The following is a 12,859-nucleotide window of genomic DNA, read 5'->3' as shown; positions in this document are numbered from 1 at the left end:
TGGAGGATGTCACCTGCCCTATGCCTGTTTTTTTGTTTTGTTTTGTTTTAGACAGAGTCTCGCTCTGTTGTCCAGGCTGCAGTACAGTGTCACAATCTCAGCTCACTGCAACCTCCGCCTCCCAGGTTCAAGCGATTCTCCCGCCTCAGCCTCCTGAGTAGCTGGGACTACAGGCACCTGCCACCACACTCGGCTAATTTTTGTATTCTTAATAGAGACGGGGTTTCACCATATTGGCCAGGTTGGTATTGAACTCCTGACCTTGTGATCTGCCGACCTTGTGATCTGCCCGCCTTGGCCTCCCAAAGTGCTGGGATTACAGGCATGAGCCAACGCACCCGGCCTGCCTGTTGGTTTTAATGTCGGCATACTGGAGGGTGTGGGCAGTATTGTGCTGTGGCTTTGGTATGCTTTTCTTAGGTGACTGATGATGTCAAGCAGCTTCCTCATATTCGTTCTCCATTTGTATCTCTCCTTTGGAGAAATGTCTATTCAGATTATTTGCCCAGTTGTGAGTTGGGTTGTTTGTCTTTCTGTTGTTGAGTTTTAAGAGTTCTTTATGGGCTGGACACAGTGGTTTACGCCTGTTATCCCAGCACTCTGGGAGGCCGAGGCGGGTGGATCACCTGAGGTCAGAAGTTCGAGACCAGCCTGGCCAACATGGTGAAACCCCGTCTCCAATAAAAATATGAAAAAAATTGGCCAGGCATGGTGGCGGGCGCCTGTAATCCCAGCTACTCGTGAGGCTGGGGCAGGAGAATCGCTTGAACTCAGGAGACAGAGGTTGCAGTGAGGCGAGATCGCGCCACTGCAATCCAGCCTGGGCAACAGGAGCGAAACTCCGTCTCAAAAAAAAAAAAGAGTTCTTTATATTCTGGATACTGGTCACCTATCAGATATAAGATCCTTGCAAATATTTTTTCCCATTCTGTGGGTTGTCTTCTCAAAAGTTTTTAATTTTGATGAAATCCAGTTGATCTATTTTTTTTTCTTTGGCTGCTTGTGCCATCAATCTTTTGGCCAGACCGCCACACTCTGGCCGAGGCCCTGCCCCTCCCCTCTGGGCCCCTGGTCACCTCCTTTCCCCTCCCACACCAGGCCTGCTCTCAGAGCCCAGGTGCGCTGCGGCCCCTGCTGGCGGCTGTAGGCATCGCCAACCCTGTCGTCCCAGTCCTGGGACGCGCCTGCTGCCCTCCCTCCCTGTCCGCGCGGGCTGGTTATCAAGGCTGACTGGCTTAATGAGGGGCTCTGAGAACATGGGAGTTAGAAATGATAAACTTGACAGACCAGCATCTGTGCTCAAGGCTACTGTCATTTTCCCAGGAAGGGAAGGAAAGGAAAACATTTCCCCTTCCCTGGTCCAGGTCCAGCACTAGACCACAGCCATTCCTCATTTCATGCTACCCCCACCCTGTGAGGTCAAGATTCTCATCCCCATTCAACAGAAAAAACCAAGGCTCAGGGAAATGTAGTGAGTGCTCAAAGTTCTAGGGTTACTAAACTCTAGAACAGGGACTGACTGACTGACTCACTCATTCATTCAACAAACATTTGTGAGGATGTGCCTCATACAGACCCCCTGCTGAGCCCAGGCACGTGGCAATAAAGAGAAACAGAGACCATGTTCTGGCGAGCTCACAGTCTTGGGAGACAGACAGCAAATAAGAGCCATAGGGGAAGTTCGGCGCGGTCGCTCACGCCTGTAATCCCAGCACTTTGGGAGGCTGAGACGGGTGGATCACTTGAGGTCAGGAGTTCGAGACTAGCCTGGGCAACAGGGTGAAACCCCATCTCTACTAAAAATACAAAAATTAGCCAGGTGTAGTAGTGCATGCCTCTAATCCCAGCTGCTTGGGAAGCTGAAGCAGGAGAATCGCTTGAACCCGGGAGGTGGAGGTTGCAGTGAGCCGAGATGGCGCCACTGTACTCTAGCCTGGGTCACAGAGTGAGACCCAGAGGTCACAGAGTGAGACCTATCTCAAATAAAATAAAATAGCCATAGGGAAGTCCAGGCAGGACCCCCAGGAGCCAGGAGCCAGGTTCTGGAGTTTAGAGTCGGGGATCTGTTGGGGGAGTATGGGAGAAGGAATGTCACTCTCCTGGAGCCCACAGCCCCATGCTGACGTCTGACTGTAAGGACTGGAAGCTTCGTGGTCCTGCTCCTGCTGCAAGCAGAACCTATTGCCCAAGATGCCCCCCGACCCTCCAGGGGCCTGCCTAGTGGTTCTGTTACCAAACAGAAGAGTCACAGACAGAAGCAAAGTGCGGGACTGAGAGAAGGCCCCTACCCTTGTCCATCCGTGTGGATAGACAGCCTATGTTTGTGTTTGCTTCACACATCTACAAAAAGACATTCTGGAAGGAAACAGAAGACCTAAATACATAAATAACCATGGCTGCCTGGGTGGGGCAGTGGGGACAGGCATGGCTGGGAGGCCTTTTGAAAATGTAAACAGTTAAACATCAGTATTCAAAATTTAAAAATAGAAAGCGGCCAGGTGTGGTGGCTCACACCTGTAATCCCAGCACTTTGGGAGGCCAAGGAGGGCAGATCACCTGAGATCAGCAGTTCGAGAGCAGCCTGGACAACATGGTGAAACCCCATCTCTACTACAAATACAAAAATTAGCCAGGCATGGTGGTGCACACCTGTAGTCCCAGCTACTCGGGAGGCTGAGGCAGAAGAATTGCTTGAACCCGGGAGTCAGAGGCTGCCGTGAGCCAAGATCACGCCACTGAACTCCAGCCTGGGTGACAGAGCAAAACTCTGTCTCGAAAAAAATAAATAAATAAATAGGAATGATGAAAATGTTCTAAAATTGTGGTGATAGATGTACCACTCTGTGAATATACTAGAAAGTACTGAATCATACACTTTAAACGGGTGCATTGTATGGTATGTGAATTATATCTTACTAAAGCTGTTTAAAAAGGAAGTGGGGGCCAGCTGCAGTGGCTCACGCTTGTAATCCCAGCACTTTGGGAGGCCGAGGCAGGTGGATCACTTGAGCCAGGAGTTTGAGACCAGCCTGGCCAACATGGGGAAACCCCGTATCTACTAAACATACAAAAATTAGCCAGGCGTGGTGATGTGTGCCTATAGTCCCAGCTACTTGGGAGGCTGAAGTAGGAGGATCCCTTGAGCCCAGGAGGTTGAGGCTGCAGTAAGCCATGATCACACCACTGCACTCCAGCCTGGGTGGAAAAAGTGAGACCCTGTCTCAAAAAATATAAATAAATAAATAAATAGGAAGGGGAAGGCCGGGCATGGTGGCTCACACCTGTGATCCCAGCACTTTGGGAGGCCAAGAGGGGGCGGATCACCTGGGGGCGGATCACCTGAGGTCAGGAGTTCGAGACCAGCCTGACCAACATGGTGAAACCCAGTCTGTACTAAAAATACAAAATTAGCCAGGCGTGGTGGCGGGCGCCTGTAGTCCCAGCTACTCAGGAGGCTGAGGCACGAGAATCTGTTGAACCCAGGAGGTGGAGATTGCAGTGAGCTGAGATCCTGCCACTGCACTATACCCTGGGCAGCAAAGTGAAACTCCATCTCAAAAAATAAAATAAAATAAAAATAAATAAATAAACGAATAGAAAGGGGAAAACTAACAGTGCTGAAAGTTGTTCACTGAAATGTGAGAGTGGTGCAGATGGGGGCCAGGGAGACCTACAGATAGATGTATCAGCCTGATTTCGCACAACCCGGGGATGGTCAGCAGGCATCAGAGCCCCCAGCAGGCTTGCTAAAATATAGACTCCTGGCCTCACCCTCAGACCTTCTAAATCAGTGGGGTGGAAGAGGCCAGGGCCTGAGAATCTGCATTTCCAACACGTTTCCAAGGATGCTGGCACTGTGGTCCTGGGATCCTCTTTGAGGGCTGCTGGCCTAGATGGCCTTTGGTAGCACTGGGCACCTTGGGGATAGGAGAGGGAAGGAAAGGTTAACCATACACCATTTTGAATTTCATACTGTGTGATTAGTCTATAACAAAAATATATAAATAAGGTTTAAACGTTTAAATATTACTAGAACTTATAGAAATTAGGTGTGTGTAGCTGAGATGGCTAAGTGTCCTCCGCTATTCATTCTCTTTTTCTTCCTTAGGCATAGAAACCCTGAACTTTAGTTGAGAACATGGTTGCCTGGAGTAGAAACTACATCTCCCAGCTTCCGTTGTAGCTAGGTATGGCCACTTGGTGAAGTTCTGGCCACGACACATGAGTGAAAGTGTCCAGAAAGCTCTGAGAAGTGTCTTGGAGGGTCAGAGCGCACCTTTCTTCCTCCCTTCCTCCTTCCTGCTGGCTGGGATGCAAGCTTGATGACTGGAACTCAAGCAGCTATCTTAGGTCATGAGGTGGAGGCTACACGTGGAGAAAGCCAGGGCAGGAAGCTGGGAGGAAATGGGTGTCTGAGAATGTGGAGCTGCCACCGCAGCCATGTACAGCATGCCTCCAGACATCATTTGTGTAGTAAAGAAATGACTGTCTTGTTTAAGCAACTGGTACTTTGCCGTTTGTGTCACTCATAGCGACACTTAGCCCTGAGTGACAAAGCATATAGAGCCCCTGGCGCAGGGCCTGGCTCACGGCAGGTGCTCCAGCTGAGCATCCCCCAGTAACCCCGTACCTGCAGCAGGGAGAAGGGAACCCAGGCCTGAAGCCTAGGGACTCCCGTGAGCCTAGGAGAGAAGCTGACCCAGAGGAGGACATAAACTCCCACCAGCCCCGGCCTGCCCAGCTGTTGGTTGTAGGTCATTGGCCTTCGAAGGCCACACCACCCACGGTTTCTAGCACTTACTGTCCCACTGGCAGAGGGCATTGCCCTAAGAAGATGACATGTGTCCAGCCACATGCTTCCCTGACTGCAGATTCTACCAATTGAATTAGATTTTCCTCTGGTTGATGTTAGTGTGAGTCTTCATTTCCTGACCATCTGCTGTTTGGGTGTCAGGAAAGCCCTCTGGGTGCCAAAGGGATGGCAGCCCAGAATGGAAAAGGCTCCACAGATGCCAGTGAACAAAGAGGCTGAAGTGACGTTCTGCGGAGGCCCCACACTGGGCTGCCCCCTCTGCGCAGGCAGCGGTCCCACACACGGGGTTGGGCGCTCAGCCGCTTCCGAGCCCAGTGCCTGAGCCTTAACTTAGTCAAGAGCCCTTCTCACACTGAACACTTGTGAAAATAGGTTTATAGTCAACTAAGAGGGGAGGGGCGTGTGAGAGAAAGTGTGGAGGGGAGGCAGGGAGGCGGATAGCACAGTACCAATGCCTCTTGGGTCCCAGCATGACCAGCGCAGAAAAAGCACAGCCTCAGGCCACGCTGCACTTGTTTGCTTGTCTTCTAAATCCTAAACACCATGTGCTGGCTTTGGATGGCTCCATTGACACCCTTCCCCCATCACCTCCCGGAGCCTCACTGCCCCGTGTTAGCACTGAGCAGGCACTGGGAAGTCATCTCCTTATTGCTACCTGCCGCATTCACTGACACATTTTCTTCTATCTGCACACCCAGGTTCACAGCAGCATTATCCACAGAGCCAGGATACGGAAGCAACACAAGTGTCCAGCAACAGATGAGCAGATAAACAAAATGTGGTGTCTCCATATGATGGAATGTTATTCAGTCTCAACAAGAAGGACATTCTGGCACATGCTACACACGGATGAACCTTGAGGCCACTATGCTAAATGAAATAACTTGATCACAAAAGGACACATACTGCATGATTCCACGTATATGTGATACCCAGAGGAGTTGCATTCATAGAAACAGAGAGTCGGATGGCGGCTGCTAGGGCCTGGGGGAGGGAGGAATGGGGAGTCAGCATTGAATGGGGACAGAGTTTCAGTTTGGGATAATGAAAAAGCTCTAGAGGTCTGTTTCATAAATCTGGATATATTTACACTACTGAACTATACACTTAACATGGTTAAGGCCAGGCGCGGTGGCTCATGCCTGTAATCCTAGCACTTTGGGAGGCCAAGGCGGGTGGATCACCTGGGGTCAGGAGTTCAAGGCCAGCCTGGCCAACATAGCGAAACCCCATCTCTACTAAAAATACAAAAATTATCTCGGCGTGGTGGCACGTGCCTGTAGACCCAGCTACTCAGGAGGAGTAGCTACTCAGACAGGAGAATCGCTTTAACCCGGGAGGCAGAGGTTGCAGCGAGCCAAGATCACATCATTGCACTCCAGCCTGGGCGACAGAGCGAGACTCTGTCTCAAAAAAAAAAAAAAAAACATAGTTAAGATGGCAAAAGAAAAATCATGTCACATTGATCACAGACCTAAAGCTTCCAGAGGAAGACATAGAGGAGTATCTCTGTGGCTGTGTCATCAGGGATAGGAAACACACTGAGAAGATGTAAGAAAACTCAGGTGCTCGAGGGCCGAGCGAGGCACCAGGAAGGCCCATGTGGAAGGAGTGAGGCCTCCACAGAGAAGGTGTATTTGAGGCCCTCTAGATGTGCTTTTGTCTGCTGCTAAGTCCACGGGTTTGCCTGGCCCGGGCTAGTCTGCAGCCGCTGCTGGTGGGGTGCAGGCACTGTGGAACTGGGGCCCCGCCGGCCAGGTATGCAGCGAGTCTGGGTGTAGGCAGGCCTGGAGCATGTGGAATTCCAGATCAAGAGGGGATGGAAAGGTAGTCACCAGCCAGGGTCGAAAGGGGACGCGCATTTGGAGTACATGGCCAGCACCCCACACCATGGACCTGCCCTGCAGCTGTGGGAGTCCACAGAAGAGCCCCTTCCTCCTCCTACAGTGCCCCCAGCGCCCTCTATTGCCAAAAGGCTGGCACTGCACTCACTGGGAGGGAGAAATGTTATCCCAGAGCAGGAACTGAAGGGTGACTTGGAGCTCAGAGGTAGTGAACTGATGCAGTGACCCTAGGGGAAAAAAGAGACCTCTTGGACAGGATGCCAAAAGAAATAACCGTAAAATTTGGCCAGGTGGGCTTCAAAAATTTAAACCTTCTGCTTATCAAAAGACACTATTAAGAAAATAATAGACAAGACATAGAACTGGAAAAAATATTTACAACTATATCTGAAAAAGAACATGTATCCAGGCCCAGCACGGTGGCTCATGCCTGTAATCCCAGCACTTTGGGAGGCTGAGGGGGGTGGATCACCTGAAGTCAGGAGTTCGAGACCAGCCTGGCCAACATGGTGAAACCCGTGTCTACTAAAAATACAAAAATTAGCCGGGCGTGGTGGTGCACATCTGTAGTCCCAGCTACTCAGGAGGCTGAGGCAGGAGAATCGCTTGAACCCAGGAGACAGAGGTTACAGTGAGCCGAGATCGGATCACCGCACTCCAGCCTGGGTGACAGAGTGAGACTCCATCTCAAAAAAAAAAAAAAACCACATATCCATAATATATAAAGAACTCCTTTTAAAAGTCAATGCTAAAAAATGAATAACCTGGATTTTATTATTATTTTTTAGAGATGCAATCTTTCTCTGTTGCCCAGGCTAGAGTGCAGAGGTACAATCACAGCTCACGGCATGCAGCCTTGACCTCCTGGGCTCAAGGAATCCTCCCATCTCAGCCTCCTGAGTACCTGGGACTACAGACATGCATCACCATGCCCAGCTAATTAAAACAAAAATTTTTTTAGATGGACCTGAATTTTAAAATGAGCCAAAGACCTGAACAGACCCTTCACAAAAGAAAATATATGAAGAGCTGGCTGGGCGCAGTGAATCATGCCTGTAATCCCAGCACTTTGGGAGGCTGAGGCAGGCGGATCACGAGGTCAGGAGATCGAGACCATCCTGGCTAACATGGTGAAACCCCGTCTCTACTAAAAATACAAAAAGTTAGCCGGGCGTGGTGGCAGGCGCCTGTAGTCCCAGCTACTCAGGAGGCTGAGGCAGGAGAATGGTGTGAACCTGGGGAGGCGGAGCTTGCAGTGAGCCGAGATTGCACCACTGCACTCCAACCTGGGCAACAGAGCGAGACTCCATTTCAAAAAAAAGAAAAGAAAATATATGAAGAGCTAATGAACACGAATTTGTGTGCAATACCATTAGTCACCAGGGAACGGATAACTAAAACCTCAGTGAGTTACTACTTCAAACACATTATAATGGCTAAAATCTCAAAACCCGGAAAATATCAAGTGTTAGGACACGGAGCAAATGGAACACACAGCCACTCTGGAAAATGGTCTGTCAGTTTCTTATAAAACTAAACATACATTTACTATATAATGTGGAAATTTAATTCTGTTTACTCAGGAGAAGTACTTGTTTGAGTAAACAAGTACTTACACACCAGTGTCTTAAGGAATAGATTTATTTGTAACAACTAAAGCTGAACAACCCAAACGTCTATTCCCCAGGTACATGGATAAACACACTGGGGTGCATCCCAACAGTGGCGTGCTGGTTAGCAGGGAGAAGGACTTCAGAATTGCTGATCCAGGTAGCAATATGGATGAGCCTCAAAAACATTTTGTGGTGGGGCAAGGTGGCTCATGCCTGTAATCCCAGCACTCTGGGTAGGACTTCAGGTAGCACTGCTACCTGCAGTCAGGAGTTCGAGACCAGCCTGGCCAACATGGTGAAACTACTAAAAATACAGTCTTTACTAAAAATACAAAAATTAGCTAGGCGTCATGGTGGGCGCCTGTAATCCCAGCTACTCAGGAGGCTGAGGCAGGAGAATCGCTTGAACCTGGGATGCAGAGGTTGCGGTGAGCTGAGATCGTGCTATTGCACTCCAGCCTGGGCAACAAGAGCAAAACTCCATCTCAAAAAGAAAAAAAAGAATGAAAGAATGGATACTGGATATATCCATTCTCTGCCCCAGGGGACAGCATATTCAGTCCAGGTGACAGGTCAAGATGTGGCCAATTCAGTTCCGTATTTCCCAGCCTTCCTCAAAGATAAGGGTGGCCCTGAAACTTAAGGTGCAGTCTACCGGGGAAATTTAGGGCCTTTGCTTTTAAGAGAAAAGGGGGCCCATGTGGCTTGTGATCTCCTCCCTGTTTCTCCCTGGACTTCACACAGACATGCTGTCTGGACCTCAAGCAGCCCTATTGTGACCAGGAGGCAGCAACCCTGAGGAGAAGGCCAACAGCATCCCAGAGATGAGGCCCAACTCTGGCAGCGTGCCCAAGGATGAATTCTCTGGCCACCATCTCCCAAGGTCAGGCTGGACACCAGAGGGAGGACACACATTTGGTGATAAGTTGTGATGCTGCCTTTAAAACATTCACTCTCACCTGACCTGGAGATGAAGTACAAGCATTTCACCTACCTCCGTATCTCCACGACCAGAGGCCTCATGTTGCTTCTGGAATCCATCTTGGGAAGAATGGGTGCCTCCCTCATTCCCAAGCGGGCCAGCACATGAGCCCAGTATGGAGAGAAGGAAGAAAAATGATAATCGGAGTCCACTTTAATTGACATTTATGTTTAAAGCAAATTCACAGAAACAAGGGGAAAAAAGGAGGGAAATAAATGCTGCTATTTTCTACTATGTTTAGAATTTTTAACAGAGAAAAGAGCTTCTGACTCCTCTGTCCTACAGTCTTGTGGACACCAGGGTTAAGGGCAGACACTGTAAGCAGATCCTAGTGACAGTAATTGCTCCCTGTCTTTCACCACACCCCAAGGACAGCAATGAGTCCCAGGGAGTGAGGGCAGCTGTTAGAACCCGCTGGGGCAAGCATTGCCACCTGACCCCAAGGCCTCTGCGAGCTGGTGCCTCACCCCAGGGGTGGCCCCCACCTCAAACTCTGAGTGCAGGGATGGGTGATGGTTGTGGTTACTGGCCTTTGGTGATGATGTGTCCTATACCAAAGCCAGAACTGCCACCCTAGTTGGGGAGCTGGACACTCATGTCCAACGGCCACTGGGAGAGTGGAAAGGGGCCAATCCTGGCCAAGGATACCTGTTGCAAGGCTGCGGGAAGCAAGCCCTCATGTCACAAGGGCCCAAGCCAATCACTGCAGATGGGGGCGCACTGGTCGTGGACAGCTCTACTTGCTAGAGGGAGCTCATGGTCACCGTAGCCCTAGCAAAGTCAGCAAGAAGGTGGGCAGCGGCCTCAGGGGACAACCAGACCATGCAGGTGTGCTGGGGTCGGGGAGCAATGGGAGAGGCTCGGTCCCCATCACCCCTTTTCCTCCCTCCCTCTCCCTACTCCCTTCTTTCTCTCTCTCCACACTCTCTCTTATTTTTGTCCTCCTCTGTGAAGCTTTCCAAGAACTCTATGTTCTTCAGTCTTTTCCGTACTCAGACCCCACGGTCCTGACCCATCATGGCACAACTGTGAGGCCCCACTATTACTGCCTCACCTGCTTCATTTGCAATCCAGGACACTGAGTCAAAAGGAACCTCTGTGCTGGGCGCAGTGGCTCATGCCTGTAATCCCAGCACTTTGGGAGGCTGAGGCAGGTGGATCACCTGAGGTCAGGAGTTCAACCTCACCAACATGGTGAAACCCCGTCTCTACAAAATTAGCCGGGCGTGGTGGCGGGTGTCTGTAGTCCCAGCTACTTGGGAGGCTGAGGCAGGAGACTCACTTGAGCCCAGGAGGTGGAGGTTGCAGTGAGCCGAGATCGCACCACTGCACTCCAGCCTGGGCAACAGAGTGAGACTCATCTCAAAATAATAATAATGATAATAATGTAGGAAGTACACATGGCACTGCACCAGAGGCAAGTCCTCTGAAGAAGGGCATTTTTGTTATCTAACAAATAAACAGATGGACAGGGAAAGACCAGCAGGGCTACAAATGTGCCATGTGCCCCCTGGGGGAACTGGGAAAGGACGGCAAGGGCACAGAGGAAGCAAATCTCATCCCATCACCCAGAGGACACCACTGGTAACATTTCAATGTTTATTTCCTATGTATCTGCATTTACATCATTGCTGATTATTCAGCTCTGCAGTCTTTTCCAAGAAAGGCTGTAGAGTCAGCTTTGACGGGCTCCACTGTACTTCCTGTAATGCTTGCACATATTCTATCATATGGCGGTACCGTAATTTATCTTTTCTCTGGCATACATCTAAGTTGCCTACAACTTTTCCTTATTACATATAATGCCATGGTGAATTATGCATAAAGCTTTTATCTTATTAAAAAATATCTCCCTGGCTGGGCGCAGTGGCTCACGCCTGTAATCCCAACACTTTGGGAGGCCGAGGCAGGGGGATCACGAGGTCAGGAGATAGAGACCATCCTGGCTAACACAGTGAAACCTCATCTCTACTAAAAATACAAAAAATTAGCCAGGCGTGGTGGCGGGCGCCTGTAGTCCCAGCTACTCAAGAGGCTGAGGCAGGAGAATGGTGTGAACCTGGGAGGCGGAGCTTGCAGCAAGCCGAGATTGCACCACTGCATTCCAGCCTGGGTGACATGCAAGACTCCGTCTCAAAAAAAAAAAAAAAAAAAAAAATATATATATATATATATATATATATATCTCCCTATAATAGATTCCCAGAAGCAAAATTATTTGGGTCAAGGAATATAAATATTTTAAAGGCTGTGGATAAATCTTGCAACTTTATCATCTGGAAAAGTCAAGCCTATTCTTATTCCTACCAGCTGTATATGGAAGTGTTTATCCTGTAGCAATTGTGGAAGTTTGGATATTCTCAGATTTCAAAAAGGGAGTTTTGTTTATTCCACAGGAAGTGAAAAATCATGAATCAGTTTCAATATGCATTTCTGTACTTCTGGGAATTTTTACTTTTCAAATACATAGTAGTCACTTTCATTTCTCTTGATTCACTGTGGCAGAGGCAATACTAAACGTTTATTTAGTTATATTCTGGGGCATACAACTAAACTATGTTTCTTGGCTCCATGCTCCTGGGTGTGATAACACAGCTTTCTCACCACCTGAATGTGAGAAGAAGTGACCTGCTTCTAGGTGAAAATACTCTGCATCCCTGGGACTTGCGTGCCAAGCAGGAGAGCCCTCCTACCCACATCAGGTGTAAGTGAGTATGAAATAAACCTTATTGTATTAGCCATCAAGTGTGGTTTATTTGATACTGTAGCAGAGCCTGGCCTCTTTTGACCAAAATAGTCACCATTTAAGTTATCATTCCTGCTGTGTAATAAATTAACCTAAAACTTAGTGGTTTAAAAAACAAGAATAATTTACTATCACTAGCAATTTCTATGGGCCAAGAATTCAAGAGAGACTCAACAGGATGGTTCTCTGGGTCTCTCATGAGGCTGCAGTCAGGTGTTGGCCAGAGCTGTGGTCTCATCTGAAGGCTTGGCTGGGACAGCAGATCCACTTTCAAGGTGACTAACTCACACATGGGCAAGTTGGTATTGGCTGCTGACTGGGGGCCGAGTTCCTCCCCAAGGGATTGGTTCTCCTCAGGGCTGCTTTGTCCTTATGACATGGTGGCTGGCTTCCCCTAAAATGAGCAGTCCAGAAGGGAAAGTCTGAAGCCACAGTGTGCTTTATGACCCAGCCTTAGACGTCACACACCATCTACCTCTGCTGGAATTTACTGGCCACATGCAGTCTCCCTGATTTACTGGGAAGGGAGACTATGCTGGTTATGAATACGGAAGCAAGGATCATTGGGGGCCATCCTGAGGCTGGCAATTAATTCTTAAATCACTCAAGTATGTGTGCAGAGATTTATATACCAGGAGAGGATGGCCATTATAGTGTTGTTTTCAGAAGAAAAAAAGAAGGATGCCAGGCACAGTGGCTCACACCTGTAATCCCGGCACTTTGGGAGGCCGAGGCAGGTGGATCACCTGAAGTCAGGAGTTCGAGGCCAGCATGGTGAAACCCGTCTCTACTAAAAATACACAAATTAGCTGGGCGTGGTGGTGGGCACCTGTAATCCCAGCTACTCGGGAGGCTGAGGCA

At 49.3% G+C, this 12,859-nt stretch overlaps 1 long non-coding RNA gene across 1 annotated transcript, besides 4 other annotated features; it reads right to left on the bottom strand.

The window, feature by feature from the left end:
* Positions 1,016-1,145: a silencer, noted in NCBI's record as "silent region_20043". NCBI's record gives its function as "represses an Ori minimal core promoter by ATAC-STARR-seq in GM12878 lymphoblastoid cells {active_cell/tissue: GM12878}" and the evidence as "EXISTENCE:reporter gene assay evidence [ECO:0000049][PMID:35858748]".
* Positions 4,295-4,354: an enhancer, noted in NCBI's record as "active region_28620". NCBI's record gives its function as "activates an Ori minimal core promoter by ATAC-STARR-seq in GM12878 lymphoblastoid cells {active_cell/tissue: GM12878}" and the evidence as "EXISTENCE:reporter gene assay evidence [ECO:0000049][PMID:35858748]".
* Positions 4,395-4,444: an enhancer, noted in NCBI's record as "active region_28619". NCBI's record gives its function as "activates an Ori minimal core promoter by ATAC-STARR-seq in GM12878 lymphoblastoid cells {active_cell/tissue: GM12878}" and the evidence as "EXISTENCE:reporter gene assay evidence [ECO:0000049][PMID:35858748]".
* Positions 9,375-9,875: an enhancer, noted in NCBI's record as "H3K4me1 hESC enhancer chr9:95913665-95914165 (GRCh37/hg19 assembly coordinates)". NCBI's record gives its function as "activates a minimal SCP1, AML or CMV promoter by ChIP-STARR-seq in primed H9 embryonic stem cells {active_cell/tissue: H9 hESC(primed)}" and the evidence as "EXISTENCE:reporter gene assay evidence [ECO:0000049][PMID:30033119]".
* On the bottom strand, positions 11,982-12,857 carry LOC124902213 (uncharacterized). Its single transcript, XR_007061667.1, has 2 exons — positions 12,828-12,857; positions 11,982-12,392 (listed from the first exon to the last, which is right to left on the bottom strand). It is a non-coding gene; the product is annotated as an uncharacterized LOC124902213 (long non-coding RNA).
* Positions 12,858-12,859: the final 2 nt, after the last annotated feature.

Source organism: Homo sapiens, chromosome 9, assembly GCF_000001405.40.
Source record: "Homo sapiens chromosome 9, GRCh38.p14 Primary Assembly".
Classification (NCBI taxonomy): domain Eukaryota; kingdom Metazoa; phylum Chordata; class Mammalia; order Primates; family Hominidae; genus Homo; species Homo sapiens.
The sequence above is the reverse complement of the archived record's forward strand: the minus strand, read 5'-3'. Positions and strand labels throughout refer to the sequence as shown.